At 42.1% G+C, this 17,105-nt stretch overlaps 1 protein-coding gene across 5 annotated transcripts in view; it reads left to right on the top strand.

Moving 5' to 3' along the window:
* OPHN1 (oligophrenin 1) overlaps positions 1 to 11,861 on the top strand; it is a 391,498-nt gene extending 379,637 nt beyond the window's left edge. For 4 of the 5 annotated variants that reach the window (XM_011530961.2, NM_001437258.1, NM_002547.3 and 1 more), the window contains 4 exons: positions 395 to 560; positions 1,615 to 1,665; positions 5,748 to 5,789; positions 7,042 to 11,861. In XM_011530961.2, coding sequence (XP_011529263.1) covers positions 395 to 560; positions 1,615 to 1,665; positions 5,748 to 5,781 — 251 coding nt within the window. In that variant the 3' untranslated portion in view covers positions 5,782 to 5,789; positions 7,042 to 11,861. The remainder of the gene's footprint in view (positions 1 to 394; positions 561 to 1,614; positions 1,666 to 5,747; positions 5,790 to 7,041) is intronic. The other variant, XM_006724653.3, reaches the window with a different exon arrangement.

The raw sequence follows: 17,105 nt of genomic DNA, 5'->3' as shown, positions 1-17,105 counted from the left end.
CAAATTCATCATCATCAGACATTTAGTAAGCACCTACTATGTACCTGGCCCTGCACTAAACATATTAGTACCTGATTTAATCCTCCCACTATCTCTGTAAGATAATATATTGTGGATCTTTATTATATAGCTGGGGAAACTGAGACTTAGGGAATGGATATGACACACCCAAGATATCTGAAACTCCAGAGCTGGGGTTCAAATATAGACTTTCTGAAGGGACAGTTGCCAGAAAAATTACAAAAAAAAAAAAAAATAGCCAGAGTTGTTAGTCACCAAGAAGAAATGGAGGCCAAGGAAGTTGGCCCAGGTAACTCTCATATTGGGTGCCTGCTCATGAGTAGTGTTCTGTTTGGCTAACCATCCAAGTTCCTGGTATCATTTTCTCTTCCAGGGGATGCTGACAGTTTCAGCAAAGTGCGGCCTCCAGGAGAAAAGCCAACCATCATCCGCCCCCCAGTGAGGCCCCCAGATCCTCCCTGCCGGGCAGCTACTCCCCAAAAGCCAGAACCAAAGCCAGATATTGTGGCTGGCAATGCGGGGGAAATCACATCATCTGTGTAAGTAGGGTTGTACCTCAAAGTTGACTGAAGTCCTGTACTAGGCCACTAGGAATGCTTTCAGGATCACCATATTAAGGGTATACAGTGCACAGCCCTGGGGCATCCTTCACTTTATAGTCTAGGGAAATATCATAGGCCAGCCCTGTTGGGAGTATTCCACTCAATGCTCAAAGCTGAGGGATTTCTCTAAAGCTGAAACCTTTGATTCTTAGTACCTGCTAGGAGACCCATTTTTCTTAGCTTCCTTTATCTCTGTATGGTGATATTATTACCTTCTGATTTTAGCTTCCTTGGCTCAGGATATTTTTTAAAAAAATTTCTTGTTATTTCTACTGGTTTTAAAAGTAATTTAATGAACAGATTCATTCACTGTACTTATGCTTGAGGCTTTTATTTTAAGCAAAGGGTATGATTTAAATTTTTTTTCAAAATGACTTTGGTTCTCCAGAGAGTCTCTTACAGGGTGGGAGCTGAGCTGATGTGCAACAGACCTTCCTGAGGCTGGGCCGCAAGCCAAGGAACCAAGGAAGGAGCAGCTAGGGTGGGACCACAGCAGTGCTCAGGGACCAGCTTTGCTTGGCCACAACGCGCTTGCCTGTCCTCTCTTTATCGACTGGGACCATTCTCAGTATACTGCCTCCTGGTCTTCCTTTTTCTTGTCTTTCTTGTTTTCCATAATTGTAAAATTGGAGAAAAAGAAGAACAAAGCCTCCACAGCTTTGACTAATTAGCTTACTATATTTACAAAAAGCCAACAATTATACTTTGAAATCAAGACTGGTTTCATTTATTTCCCCCAAGAAGAGCCTGACTCAGCAACATACTCAGACCATTCTGAAGCAATGGGGATAAAGAGTGTCAGCTATGGCCTTAGGGGTGCCTATGGGCTCTGGGCCATTTCACATTTGTATGTGTAGGGCCTTTGCCAGCAAAGGCAGGGGCTGGCATTGGTGTCCCATCTGGTTCAGAGTCTCCTGTCCTTTCTGTTGGCCATTGGTTCTCACGTGTATACCAAAGCAACTTATGGGACTTGGTTGGCTTCTGTTTGCAGGGTGGCTTCCAGGACCAGGTTTTTTGAAACAGCTTCCCGGAAAACAGGAAGGTAAGATATGGAGGTGACAAAAGAAAAACCAAATCGCCTTTTAATAACTGCATCCTTAGCATACAATTGTGCTCACTCTAACATCTTTCTCTTTTTGTTTCTCTACAGCTCTGTCTCTGTCTGTCACTTTCTCTTCCCCAATTCTGTCTCTCCATCCCTATCTGTCTGTCACCTGTTCACCTGTGTGTCTATTTGTTTCTCTCATATTCTTTTTCTCACTTGGTGTCTCTGTCCTTTTTTTTTTTTTTTTGAGATGGTGTCTCACTCTGTTGCCCAGGCTGGAGTGCAGTGGCACGATCTTGGCTCACTGCAACCTCCAACTCCCAGGTTCAAGTGATCCTCCCACCTCAGCCTCCCTAGTAGCTGGGACTACAGGTGCACGCCATCATGCCCAGCTAATTTTTGTATTTTCAGTAGAGACAGGGTTTTGCCATGTTGGCCAGGCTGGTCTCGAACTCCTGACCTCAGGTGATCCATCCACCTCAGCCTCCCAAAGTGCTGGGATTACAGGCGTGAGCCACTGCACCCAGCCAGTGTCTCTGTCATTCTCAATCTCTTTCTGTCTGTCTGTGTTTCTTTGCCTGTGTCCCCATAGTTGTCTTTATCTGTCTGTTTCTCTGTTCATGTCACTCTATATGTCTCTGTTTTTCTCTTCCTGTGTCTCTTTGTATCTGTTGTCTCTTTGCCTCTTCATTTCTTCATCTCTCTCTCTGCTCATCTTTCCCTTTTCTCTCTCACAAGCACATATGTCTGTGCACACTTGTGTGTGCATGTGCATGTGAACACACACCAAGCAGTATCTCAAAGACTTTACACCCAATATTTTTTGTTAGTTTTTTTTTTTAGTTTACTTTTTTGTTATTTTACTTATTTAGATTCCATTATATACTCAAAGGGCAGCTGACAGGGATATGTAGAATATTACACTCTAAGATAAACAGCCTTAGGGCCCCCATTTCAAAGGTAAACATTGGACTTAGGCAGTGGTTCTCAAACTGGCTGCACATCTAAGTCACCTGGAAACATGGAGAAAAAAGTCACATATTCCTGGATTTCATTCTAGACCCACTAAAACAGAATCTCTAGTAGTGGGGCCTGGGAATATGATTTTTTTGTTTTATTTTGTTTTTTCCTTCCCTCCCTTTCTTCTTTTCCATTAGTTTGTTATTAAAACTTCTCAAGTGCTGGTACAGACTGTCCAAGGCCTGGAATTTAGGACCCTTTGGACTAGAACATCTGGAGAGATATTTGGTTAGCCTTCAGGGACTCTTTTGTGAGTTTGTTCCTTCTTGGTTATCAGAGAGTTTGAAATTGTTCCTCCTAACAGGTGACAGGAGCAGAACTCTTCTAGGTGGTCAGTTAAAAGCAGAACAATATACCTTTCCCAGCAGTGGAGTTGGGGTAGATTTTCCATCCTCTAGTCAAAACTATGGGAACTGACACACTAGGACATGATTCTGCACAGCAGTTCATTCTAGCTCTGATTGTCAGTGAGCCACCTGGAACCTCAGGCTGGGCCAAATTCTCCTTAGACAATAATTTACCATTCATTCTACCATAGCAGATGAAAGTCAGATCAAGGCCCCAGATTTCTCTTACTGATAGCATGAAGATAAAAGTTTTCACCTCAGAAGTTTTTTAAGTAAGCTTAATCAAATATCTCTCTTGAGAAAAGAAAAAGAAAAGAAGAAGGGAGACGAAGAGAGTCTCAAATATTCTTAATAAGGTGGCCTATGCCTTCCTAGAATAAGCCACTTGAGAAATAAATAACAAGGAAATAGAACGATGTAAACTGGAATGAACTGGATATGTCTACAGGAAAGCTTTTTAGAGGAGGTGATATATGAGTTGGGGCTTGAAAAAAGAATAGAACTAGACAGAAAAAATGCTGTGGGGGCAGTTATTGATCTGCAAGCTTGGACAGGAAACCAAGGCATTGAGAAGGAAATATGTAAGAAGCATGAAGAAAGTCCAATAGAACTTTTAAGGCAGGTAGACTTACAAGAGGGAAGCTATAGCCAAACTGGTGTTGAGAGTGTGAAAAGATTGGTAGCCACTACCAATGGGCTGGGCTTTGTCAGCCAGTGCTCGAGGAAGCCTTAGATCAAGCACAACCTACAAGGGCTATGGCCAAAGCAGGCACTTCAGGCTAGAATATCACTCTACCCACCCTATGTCTGGGCTTCCAGAACCTAGATTTAATCCTGTTCTTTATTCCTAGATTCCATTTTGGCAGGAATGTAGGTAAGACCAAAGTAGGTACACTTGCTCTCCAGTATGTCATGAACTACCATCCTGAGTACCCACAGGCTCCTCCCACTCAGCATCCACATAGGGAAAGCATCCCTTCCATCTAGGCCTCCACCTTGTAACCACCACTTGCATCAGTGCTTCCACAGGTTGGCCTCTGATCAAGATCCTCAGACCAGTCACATAGTCAGTCCCGTCTATGGTCATTGTTGCTAAGTTCTTCTCTCATCTCTAATGAAAATGATGATCTTTTTAAACTTTGTCTTGCCCCTTTTTGGTCCCCATTTGTATACCTGACTACGGCCTAGCGTTTGAATGACATCACCCCCTTATTCATTTCCCTTACACAATTTAAACATAAATAACTAAGAAGAAAATGAGTAGTGGCTCATCAAGAACATAAAGGAGGTGAGAACATTTCAAAGAGGCCCGACAGCTTATGGTTTCAGAAGTTATTAGTGTTCCACTTTGGCTAGAATGTGGGAGTGAAAAGAGGGAAACTTAGCTGGGGGTGAGACCAGAAAGATGGATTGGAGCCAGATCGTGAAGGCATTGTATAACATACTAAGGTGCTTGGTCTTTATACTGCAGTCCATATGCGGATGAGTCATAGAAAGGGGGGAAGAATTTCAAGAATGACAGTCACATTCTGAGCTGACCAAGTTGTAAAAAGATCACTTTGGTAGTGGGAAAGATAGATGGGAGAGTAAAGACTGGAGACCAGTTAAGGAGACTAATTGTCCTGGCAAGAGTTGGGGAAGCCCTGGCCTATGGCATTCCCAGTGGGAATGGAACAGAAGGGACAGATTTGAGAAAGACTCAATAAGACCTTGCTACATTTTCAAACATGGAACATTGATGAACCGAGAAAGAGAAAAGTCTAACTTGGGCACTTAAGTAGATGGTACAATAATTAATCATGGAGAAGCAGGTTTTATGGGAAAGATGCTGAGCTCAATTTTGGACACAGTGATTTTGAAGACACAGTTGTTAAATTTATACAAATTTTTTAAAGACACTTTGAGACTTAGGTAGAGATAGATGTTCAGTGGGTAACTGCAACTTAGGCTAGCAGTTGGAGCTGGATGTATGTATACATAGATTTGGGGGTTAGAAATATGAGTATAGCCACTATATAAGTCTGGGGAGTGGGGCTAGTCACATATGCTACAATGTGAATAGTAGCCTGTTGTGGGGAGGTCCCTAGTATTTGGTGGCAATTGAAGCCATGGATGGGAATAAGATCCTCCAGGGAGTAAGTGTAAACAGACTGGAGAGAAGAGAAAAACAGAAGGTTGAGGACATAGCCCTGGGGACCAGCTGTTGTACGTAATGCTCTGGCCACACTAGAGTGGGTTTCATTTGCCAAGATTTTCTCCTCCCCAAGCTGTCCCCAGACATGGGTAATTTAGAACTAATCCAAGCACATCAAGAGGCTGGACAAGGTTGGTTTGGTCTTCTAGGCAAAGGAGGATTCATCTTTCACATGGTACTTGTCTGTGTCCTCACCCTTATCCCTGTTAGAGATCATCACAGAATGTAGTTCGTGGTCTGCAGCCAGCTTCCCTGGGTTCTCCAAGCTTCACATAGTCTGGTACTCAGAGAATTGTTCTGGCACCTGAAAGATGTCTTCACATCTCTTTAAGCCTGCCAGAGAAGGAGCCCCAACTATAAGCATGGAGCTAAATGTTTTGAAACATCTGGGCTGAATCACTTCTCCATTTTTCAAATGGCCTCTTTAGCACTGGCCTAGAAGTGTCCCCCATTCCCCCAATTTACCTTTCCAGTCCTGATTTCTAGAATCTTAGTGAAACGTCTTTCTTTATCCACAGTTCTCAAGGCAGACTTCCTGGAGATGAAAGTTGAGGCTACAGGTATGCAGTCCCCATCCCTGATTACAAAATCTTGTTCCACATAAGCCTTCATTACGGGATCTGATATTTTGAGGACTGGAATAACATGTAGATCAGAAGGGTGGGAACTCACTTCTACGCCTCAGTTCATTACTCTATCACTGCCTGACCCTTAAATTTAGTGACTTTCAATTCCAAGGTTTTGTGTGATTTTAAGTAACCTTCCTCTTTCATTTCTTTTTCTCCTAGCCAAACTATGGCACGCTTTTACAGATTGCCTTTGAATCAAATTTATTAAGAATCCTAGGCTGTGACATTTTGGGAAAGTACATTTACTTCTCTGAGCCTCAGTTTCCCAGTTTCTAAAATGAGAAGGTTGGAACCTTCTAACTCTGACACCTCTCGGGCCTTTAAGGAAACCAGGAACATGCTTTCTGATATTATAACAGATGCCAAGAGGCTACCTTAGTGTCTGTAGATGGATTCATTCCTGCAGACCAAATCATTATTTCAGTCTTACCCACCTGAACCTTCATTCTTAGTCCTTTATGTTTGTCCAATGCAAAGCACTTTCACATTCATTATTTCATTTGATGCATATCACATGCCAGGAGAAGGGAGGATAATATGTGTTCTAACTCAACAAATAAAGGAACTGAAGTTCAGAGGGGATAAGTGACTTGCAAAGGTCACAGGAGACTCAGAGGTCAGGGAAATTCCTTTCTCTATCATAGGAGTTCTGATTGTTTGACTATCAGATTGCTGGCATGATGTGACCTGATAACACACATAAATGAGATCCAAGTATCTGGAGCTTGGCTTTTCATGTGCTCCCTAACCTTCTTTTTTTCCCTGTCACTGCCAGTCCTCAGAGGTCCGTGGGTAGATAAGCTTCTCCTTATCAGCCCCTATGGAGGTGAAGTCCCTGTTAAAAGGAAGTTTATAGTTATTGTATGACCATAAAGGCAGTGGGCATGATGTGGGAAGAAATCTCAGAGGTTCTAGTATCAGGCTTCTATTTCTCCATGTAGATTTTGGGGAGTTTGAGTTGAGGTCAAAGGCACAAAGTGTCCAGCCCTGGTCATAGCACCATCTTAGGCCTGTTTCATGAGATTTGACTTGTAAGAGCCTTTGCCCAGCAATCCGCTGTTGCTCAGAAGATGAGCTACCAATTATAGGCTTAGCTACCTACCAAGAGAAGCCCCACTGATCAGTGGCTGTTAAGTACTTGACCAGTCCTCGCTAATTCCCTACTCTCTTCTTTCTCTTTCAGGTTTTAAAAGCCTTGGCCTCAGAGGACCCTTTCCAGGTTCTGAAAGAGTCTTTCTTCTTCAAACCTTTGTGTGCGGAGTCATTTTGTGTTGAAGAGCAGCTCCTTCCTAGCCTTGCACTTTCAGACTCTCTCTGGGAGGCCATAAAATAAGGAGCATATGTCCTAGACAGGTGTTTATATCTCCTTTGTATTCTGTCTTCATCCCCTCAGAAGGTCTGTTTTGAGTTCCTATAACACTGTGAAGAGCTGGACTCCCTCAAGCCAGACTCTGCCAAAACCAAGATATCCACTTACCTGAGTTGAAGAGGGGAGCTCAGTTTTCAACTCTTCCCTGAACTTCCTGCTTCCTCAGAGGGCCATTGAACTCTGAGAGATTTGGGGCTAAAGACTGATCTCAGGGGTCTTACCTTGAACTGAAGGCCACTTGAGTTGGGGCCATTGCTTACCTTGGTTGGAAGGGAATAGAAATGTTTGCTGAACATTGGAGAATCTCAACATGTCTCCTACTGAGGATATGGACACTGGTGCCATGTCAGCGCTCTGGTGCTGCAGTATGTTGCCAAGAGCCCGTCTGCTCCTGCGAGGCTATGAGTGGGATGAGTGATGCCCCCACAGCACCTCCATGTGGACTTAGGAAGGTGGCCTTCCTGCTGTTACATGCAGCCACTTAGGACAAATCTGCAAAGCATGTTTTGCATGTAAAAGCCTAGGTCTATTTGGATTATTCTTTCTCCTTTTTTTTGACAGCTTCCTGTCAAGCAATCAAGAAACAAACAAAAGCTGAACACATTTCTTTTTAAAAAAAGGAGACTGTGTTTGGTCCTGTAGGAGTTCTATTTTGGGGTCAAATGCTAGAAAAATTGTTAAGGTGGATTGAGGCCAGGCAGCTGTCACTGCTGCTTCATGTTTGCCTTCTGCACATAAACTCTTTTATCTCCTGAAAAAAGCAGTTCTTAACCCAGTGTCCATGGACTCAGAAACTCCATGATGCCCCTGAGATGGTATGCACAATTCCATGACAATATGCCCTTTCTGGGGAGATAGTCCATAATGTTCTGCTAAATTTCAAATGGGCTCGTGACCCAAAAAAGTCAAGAACCACAGCACTTGAGTAAAATACTCTTTTTACAATCCATATAAGCCCTTGATTGGAAGGGCTTTTCAAAATCATTTAGTCTAACAACTGCCCAGTTTCCAGTCGGGGGAACTGAGGCAGAGCAAGGTAGTGATCACACCAGTACAAGATCTCAGGTCCCAGGCTCCTATGCAAGTTTTTTTTCCCCATTATATCACACTTATCTAGCAAGGGACCTTGTGGTTTGTGGCTTTAGTGGCCATCATTTCTGGGGGTTGGCTTTTACCCTTTTTCTTGAATATTTGCCACCAAGTGAAAAATGTTAGGACATAAACCCTTGCCAGGTCCCTTTCATTTGCTATCTCTATTATTGGAAAGGACCTAAAAATTGGTGTAATGGGGCAGAAATCTGAGGAATGGACATTTCTAATTCCTGTTTGTTGAAGGGAAGTTGCTGGAAAGAGCATCAGTACTTGTTTCTATGCAGATGCCTGGGCCGTAGCTTGTCTGTAGCGTCTGTATAATTATAATGTTGCCCAGTGTGAGGGAAAGAGCTTTCCTACTTGCACTCTTCTACCAAGGCCCTGTTAGTGCACTGATTATAGTACTGACAGATAAACCTAGATAAAGAGATAGAGAGTGAGTACATGCACACTCATGTGCAAACCCACTCAGAGATGCATTTGGAACAGTGCTACTGAAAGGCAGTAGTCATTTTCAAGACTGAATTCCAAACATGGTTTATTGGTGAGTTAGGAACATGTAAGGCCAAGTACACTGAGAGCCTTTTTGAAAGTAATTGAGTGGAAACTTGATGCCATTCTAAATCAAGGCATATCCAGGTGGCCCGGTTGAACTCACTCCACTGTACCCAGTCTCAAAGGCCAGGTTGCTAAGAAACCAGGAGTAAAAGAGTCAAGTGACCATCATTTCACCTGCTGCTTGCCCCCAATAGTAGTCTCTGTGAGGCCTTACTGACCTCACCTAGGAAGTGATTTTTGAGCCCTTGTTTCAGGGCTGTGGCCTCCCTGCTCTATCCTGAATAAAGCAGACAGGTGTGCAGATTTTGGCCATGAAAGCATGGCTAATAGGGCCACAGTCCCTTTAAAGAAACATGGTTTGACTCTGGTTTTCTTGGGGGAAAATACCACAATCACCGATGCAAACATTGGAAGATTATTGAGAGCCCTAGAAAGCTGCTGTGATCCCAGTAGAAAATATGTCCCAGAAATGTCATGAGATTGCTGTGTGTTGCCTGGGACACAGATCAAGGGCCTATCTTGGAGAGCTGGGGACCAGCAGTCTGCCTGGAGGCCAGGGAGCAGTGGCTGAGTAGCTCTGCCTTTGCTCTGGTCTATACCTTAAGAATGCCAAAGAATGAATTTCAACGCCTGCCTTTGGCACTCTGACTTAAAGTGCAAAAAGCTTCTGTGGCGAGGCATGCTATCATGGAATGAGACTGGCTTGCCCTAGGCTTAATGGATGGGCAGTCATTTTGCAGAGGCTATGGGAAGAGGGTGATAATAGAAGAGTGGCAGCTATAGGAAATTATCAACATACCTTGGCCAGCAAGTTAGAGAATCTGGCAATGGATGAACTGAAAGTGATGAACTGGCAGGGATAACAAAGAACCTAACATTTATTAAGCACGTATTTATTAACTGCTCAGTGTTTCATATTCATGCAAGTATTCTCATTTTACAGAGAAAGAAATTATGGCCCAGGGGGCTAAAGTAAACAACTCAAGGGCACATAGAAAGTAAATAAAAGGACTGTGATTTGAATCCAGGCCACTCTTAGCCCATGCTGTTTTCCCTTTGCCACACTGTGGTAGGTGTTTGAACAGAGGCCACATTACTAGAGTTGGCATGACTCTTGACTCTTGCCTGCCTAACAAAATATTGAAAGGCAAACATTTGAAGGAGGGAGGGGGTGCAGGTTCAGTTTATATGGAAATGCAAACTGGGCTGGAAGATATTCCTGAGTTAGGCTTTCTCTTCATATTCAGCTTGCACATTTGGTAATGTTTTTAAGATGATCATCTAATTTTATTTTGTGAAGTGAAGGATTTGTGTTTTAGTTGGCAGTTGTTAAGTCCTTGGCTTGCCATTTTTCAAAAAGTAAAAAGGTCCTCACAGGTGTCTCCATACTTCGCCAAGGTTGTAGCATGGGCAGTTTCAGTTTCAGCCTAAGAGACTGGTGACATCCACAAATGCAGTTTTAGAAGCAGAAAAGGTCTTGGTGCCTCTGCAGTACTTGATGTATTGGGGTCAAATCTCTACAAATTTTTCTGTGGTGATAGCAAAATCAAGAGATGGCTTACAAAAAGAAATATTGAATTTTTATTTTTGAAGTTTTTGTTTTTTAAAAGGTTGGGGGTGTTCAGCCACTGAGGGACAAAACTTAGCATCTAATTTCAATTATAGTGTCATGCAGAGTATTTCTAAAGTAATTGGTTATCATGGGAAAGTATTCTCTTTTCAAGAAGTTCTTTGATTCTGTAATAACTAGAACAAATAAAGTAGTAAAAGAAGAAATAGTTCTGTGACTAGGAAAAAATTGCTTTTGAGAGAACATAGATCAATTATACTACTTCTAAGGTAGCTGCAGATAAGTGGCCTTGACACATTACAAGCCTGGAAAAAAACATCAGAAATAATAAAAAATTTCAGAGAGAATCAAGATACCTTTTTTTTTCTTTTTTTTTTCTTTTTTTTATTATACTCTAAGTTTTAGGGTACATGTGCACATTGTGCAGGTTAGTTACATATGTATACATGTGCCATGCTGGTGCGCTGCACCCACTAATGTGTCATCTAGCATTAGGTATATCTCCCAGTGCTATCCCTCCCCCCTCCCCCGACCCCACCACAGTCCCCAGAGTGTGATATTCCCCTTCCTGTGTCCATGTGATCTCATTGTTCAATTCCCACCTATGAGTGAGAATATGCGGTGTTTGGTTTTTTGTTCTTGCGATAGTTTACTGAGAATGATGGTTTCCAATTTCATCCATGTCCCTACAAAGGATATGAACTCATCATTTTTTATGGCTGCATAGTATTCCATGGTGTATATGTGCCACATTTTCTTAATCCAGTCTATCATTGTTGGACATTTGGGTTGGTTCCAAGTCTTTGCTATTGTGAATAGTGCCGCAATAAACATACGTGTGCATGTGTCTTTATAGCAGCATGATTTATACTCATTTGGGTATATACCCAGTAATGGGATGGCTGGGTCAAATGGTATTTCTAGTTCTAGATCCCTGAGGAATCGCCACACTGACTTCCACAATGGTTGAACTAGTTTACAGTCCAACCAACAGTGTAAAAGTGTTCCTATTTCTCCGCATCCTCTCCAGCACCTGTTGTTTCCTGACTTTTTAATGATTGCCATTCTAACTGGTGTGAGATGATATCTCATAGTGGTTTTGATTTGCATTTCTCTGATGGCCAGTGATGATGAGCATTTCTTCATGTGTTTTTTGGCTGCATAAATGTCTTCTTTTGAGAAGTGTCTGTTCATGTCCTTCGCGAAGGACAAGATACCTTAAAGATAAGTTTTCGATAAAGAAAAGCCTTCATTTTCCTGGGGGAAATGAAGCACTTGATGCCAAGGACATTAGTAGAGGGCTAGAAAGATTGCCTGTGTGAAAGACATATGCTATATCCAAATAATAAAACAAACGAGATCCTGGGGCTCATTCATGTGACTTTCAATAAAGTATGTAGACTGTCTAATATAAGTGGCCTCCATCTGCAGTTTTGTCATGGAAACAATCTTTGAGCATATCATTGAGGCATGATGGTACATGGAACCACTCACTACCTACTGCTTGTGTTGACTTCTACAAATCTAAGGAAACCTAAGTAAAGAGTTCTTTTGCACCTAGGAGTCTCCATTTACAGTCTACTTTGAACAATGGCCTCGCAGTTCCCTCAGGCTTCACAACATCATTTTGTGACAGGTGACAGGCCCATTTTACAGATAAGGAAACTTGAGGCTTAGGGAACTGAGAAATAATTTGTCCAAGATTACACAGCTAGGTTAACTGGAAACTACAGAGGCCTTCCCATTTCCATTTCTAATACAATTCACAGCCCCCAGTAGTAAAGAAAAGAAATCCCTAGGGTAAATGGAGAAGATTCTTAGAAATAGGAATGATAAACATCTTTAAGTCTTGCTACTCAAAATGTGGTTCGTCATCAGCCTTGGCATAAGCATTAGCTGGGAGCCTACTGGAAATGCAGATTCTCGGAACCCACTCCAGCATGTGGAATCAGAATCTGTACTTTCACAAGATCCCCAAGAGACTCCTATGCACATTAAAGTATGACAAGCACTGATATGAGGTATTTGAGACAGCAAAGCAGCTTGAGGAAGGAGTCCCTTTGGTGAGACAAAGACCAAAAGTGGTGGATAAGGATGATCTGGTATGTTGGGAGTGGGTACAAAGATTAAGTCATAGTTGCCTGCTTTTTTGCATTCCTTTATACTTGTGCTTTGATGACAAAGTTTCTCCACCTCAAAGAATAGTGAAACCAGCCTGGGGAATAAGAAGAGTGAAAAGTACTTGGCTTTCAAATCTCTGAGCAGTAGAAGCAGTGGAAAGACAACATGAGGCCATGGGAAGAGCTCCTTTCAGGAGCCCTCATGGTCCAGAATCAGCGCTATCATTGCCTCCCCTTAATGTTGAGCAAATCCCTCTCCCTCTCTAGGCCTCAAATTCTCTGCCTTTAAACCAGGTACTCTCAAAGGATCTTTTCAGCTTTGATATTCTGTTATTTTGTGATGTTAATTATACCACAGCCTACATTGTAATGAAAACATGGGCAACTCCACTGGCCTTTTTCTGGCCCTAGTTTCACATATTCAGTTTACATAAGAAGGGGTAATTCAGGAGGAAAGTTCACAGTCATGGCAAAGCAACATGAATGGAAATCACAGGGAACTAGAAGGGGCATGATCTAGGTAGCCAGCTTGAAATTGGCCAGTATTTTAATTAAAGTATAACAAGGCATCCAAACTGCTTTGAACAAGCTGCTGCTTCATATCACACGCTGATGAATCAATTTATGTATTCTAAATAAGCTTTACTTTGAACGATTCATGAATTCCTCTGACTTGGGTCTTTTGAGGGGGCAAAAGGGACTTACAAAACAGGGAATACTACCACTCCCTGCATCTGCCACTCATCTTCAGGTGATTCTGATGTCCATTAGTTAAGGACCACTGACTATAACCTAATCAATTAGAGATGGAGAAACATACTGAGGGGGGTAAGGGTCTTGCTTAAGGCCACACACCAGAGCCAGGGGCAGAAAACAGGTGCTCAGAGTACTACTAGCACAAGGGTTTTTCAACACTACTTTTTTGGGTGATCACCAGTATCAAGATACCTGCTTCCAGTGGCAGGGCACACAGTGGGGAGGACTGATAGGCTTCCCATCTGGGTGCTTTGTTTTCATCCCATGTTCATGCTGATCGCTTCATTTGAACCTTAACAGCCATATCATCTAGTCAGAGCAAAGATGATTATCCACATTTTAATGAGGCTCAGAAAGGTGACATAACTTGCCCAAGATCACATAGCTGAGAAATAAGACTGTGCCCTAGGTTGTCAGATTTCTCCTATGCTACCCTGCTTCTCTAGGGGAGGAGATGCAGCACTCCAAACTCTCAGCTCTTAATTGCTTTGATTCAATTACTTCGAAACCGATTATTTTTTCCTTTTGGAGGATATAACAGTGTATGACTTCAAACTTTGCAGAGCATCCTTAATGCCCCTTATTTTGTCCTCATAATATCCCCCTGAGGTAGGGAGCACAAGGTATTTTTGCCCCAATTTGAAGAATGTACAAGTTGAGGCCAGAGGCATTGTATTAGCCTTCTATTGCTGCTATAACAAATGATCGCAAGTTTAGTAGCTTTTCAAAACACCATGTATTTATCTCACAATTTCTGTAGGTCAAAAGTTTGGGATAGCATGGCTGGATTATCTGCTTATGGTTTCACTGAGCTAAAGCCAAGGTATCAGCCAGGCCTGTGGTTGTTATCTGGGGCTTGGGGTTCTCTTCCAAGCTCACTGGTTGTTCTGTGACTAAAGTCCCCATTTCTCAGACATCTCTATCTTAAAGCCAGCAATATTTCAGTCCTTTTGCTTTCTCTCTCTTGCATCTCTCTGACTTCCCCTCTTCTGCTTCTGCTGTTAAGGCCTTGCCCCTTCATTGGGGTGATTTCATTGGGTTCACCCCAATAATACAGGATAGGCTTCCTATGTTAAGGTCAATAGTAACATTAGTCACATCTTCGATATTCTTTTTGCCATGTAATCATAGTCATGGGGAGTAGGACATAGAATCTTCTTAGGGGCCATAATAGCTGCTTACAACAGGCATGAATTAGCTGCCAACAGAAGCCCTGCATTTCAGTCTGAAGACACATGGTTGTGAAACCTTAATTTTAGGGAAGGATAAAATGATCATTTATATGTCACCTACATGGGCAGTTAGAAACCCCAGGGTTGTTCAACCTCTCCCATCTCTCAAATACACACAGAGACAATTCAGCAGCACATCAAAGGAAGTGGTAGCAGGAGTGTAAGGGGGGATCTTTAACAGCTGATGGTATTCCTAGATAGTACCTTGATGCTGGTGACCAGTCACTTAATTAGTCTCCTTCTATTTAGGTACTGGGGGAAAGGGGGAGAAACAGTTTCCCCAAAGGCCCAACATGAGAAGTGTGCTTCCCATTGATGTATCTCTTGGCCATTACAGCTAATACATGGTGTCTACTACAGGATAGATGTGTTTCTAAGTGCTTTTCATGGGTTTACTGAATTTGTTCTATTTTAGTAACATTCCTATGAGGTAGGTACTGGTATTAGCCCCATTTTATAGGTGAAAAGACATGCACTGTTACGTCATTTGTCCAAGTACTTGTAGTCAGGAAATGTGAAATATAGGATTCAAATCCAGGCTATTCCCTTACCTAATCACCTGGGAAAATCTTAATCCACCAACCTGGGGAAATTCTCCTAGACGACAGATTGAAGCCAGGTTGATTTCATAGTTCCTCATACCTTTAATCTTCCAAGCTTGCCCTTGGGGTCCTGGCATTCTGGCAGCACAAATCAGCACTGCTGAGCCTACTGAAAGATTATTTTAAATTTAGAGACTAGCTGGGTTTTATAAGGCTAATGGAATGCAAAGTGAAGGTGACAGACCTTTTCTCAGAGGCTGGAAGAAAAGGAGACGGTCAGTGCAAGCGAGGTGGTCCCAGGAATGCCCTCTTTAGAGCAGTATTTTCACTTGGGGGCTTCCCATGATATATGGGATCTTCCTAATAGTTTTTAATATTGGTATAAAATTCAAACATAAGTGTTGGTTATTCTCTGTGTATTGATACATAATTTTTTTTACATATTTTGAGGTACCTGTGATATTTTGTTACATGCATAAAATGTGTAATGATGAATTCAGGGTATTTGGGATATCCATCAGCTTGAGCATTTATCATTTTGATGTGTTGAGAACATTTCAAGTCCTTACTTTTAGTTGTTTGAAAATACATAGTTAACTACTCACCCTACTCTACTATCAAACGTTAGAACTTATTCCTTCTATCTAGCATATATTAGTACCCGTTAACCAAACTCTTCATCCTCCTCTCCCTCACCATCCTTCTCAGCCTTTGATAACTATCCTTCTACTCTCTACCTCCATGAGATCAACTTTTTTTAGCTCCCACATTTGAGTGAGTGCATGCGATATTTGTCTTACTTTGTCTGGCTTAACATAATGACTTCAAGTTCCATCCACGTTACTGCAAATGAAAGGATTTCATTTTGTTATGGCCAAATAGTATTCCATTGTGTACATATACTGTGTTTTATCCATTCATCCATTGCTGGACACTTAAGTTGATTTCATATCTTGATTATTGTGAATAGTGCCTTGATTTTTCTTTCAGCTATTCCCTTTTTCTCTTTCTTTCTTTCTTTCTTTCTTTCTTTCTTTCTTTCTCTTTCTTCCTTTCTTTCTTTTCTTTCTCTTCTTTTTCTTCCTTTCTCTCTCTCTCTTGCTCGCTTTCCTTCCTATCTTCCTTCCTTCCTTCCTTCCTTCCTTCCTTCCTTCCTTCCTTCCTTCCTTCCTTCCTTCCTTCCTTCCCTCCCTCCCTCCCTCCCTCCCTCCTCTCTCTCTCTTGCTTTCTTCGTTTCGACAGGGTCTCACTCTGTCACCAAGGCTGGAGTACAGTGTGTGATCATGGCTCCTTGCAGCCTCAACCTCCCTGGGCTCAAGCAATCTTCCTGCCTCAGCCTCCCAAGTACCTGGGACTACAGGCATGTGCCACCACAGCTGGCTAATTTTTTGTATTTTTTGTAGAGACAGGGTTTTGCCATGTTGCCCAGGCTGGTCTCAAACTCCTAGGCTGAAGCCATCTGCCTTCCTCAGCCTCCCAAGGTGCTGGGATTACAGCAACTGCGCCTAGCCTCAGTTCTTTCTTTATTGGTGTATAGAAATACCACTGACTTTTGTATGTTGATTTTGTATCCTGTAACTTTATTGAATTTATCAGTTCTAAGAGGTTTTTTTACTTCGATGGAGTCTTTCAATTTTTCTAAATATAAGATTGTGTCATCTCCAAATTAAACAATTAGACTTCCTCTTTTCCAATTTGGATGCCATTTATTTCTTTCTCCTGCCTGATTGTTGTTGCTATGACTTCCAATACTATGTTGAATAGGACTGGTGAAAGTGGGCATCGTTGTTTAATTCCAGTTCTTGCAGGAAGACTTTCAGCCTTTCCCCATTCAGTATGATGTTAGCTGAAGGTTTGACATATGTTTTATTATGTTGAGGTATGTTCCTTCTATGCCTAGTTTGTTGAGAGTTTGTATCATGAAGAGATGTTGAATTTTATCAGATACTTTTTCTACATCTCTTGAAATGATCATATGGATTTTGTCTTTCATTCTGTTGATGTGACG

This window comes from Homo sapiens, chromosome X (assembly GCF_000001405.40).
Source record: "Homo sapiens chromosome X, GRCh38.p14 Primary Assembly".
Taxonomy (NCBI): domain Eukaryota; kingdom Metazoa; phylum Chordata; class Mammalia; order Primates; family Hominidae; genus Homo; species Homo sapiens.
The sequence above is the reverse complement of the archived record's forward strand: the minus strand, read 5'-3'. Positions and strand labels throughout refer to the sequence as shown.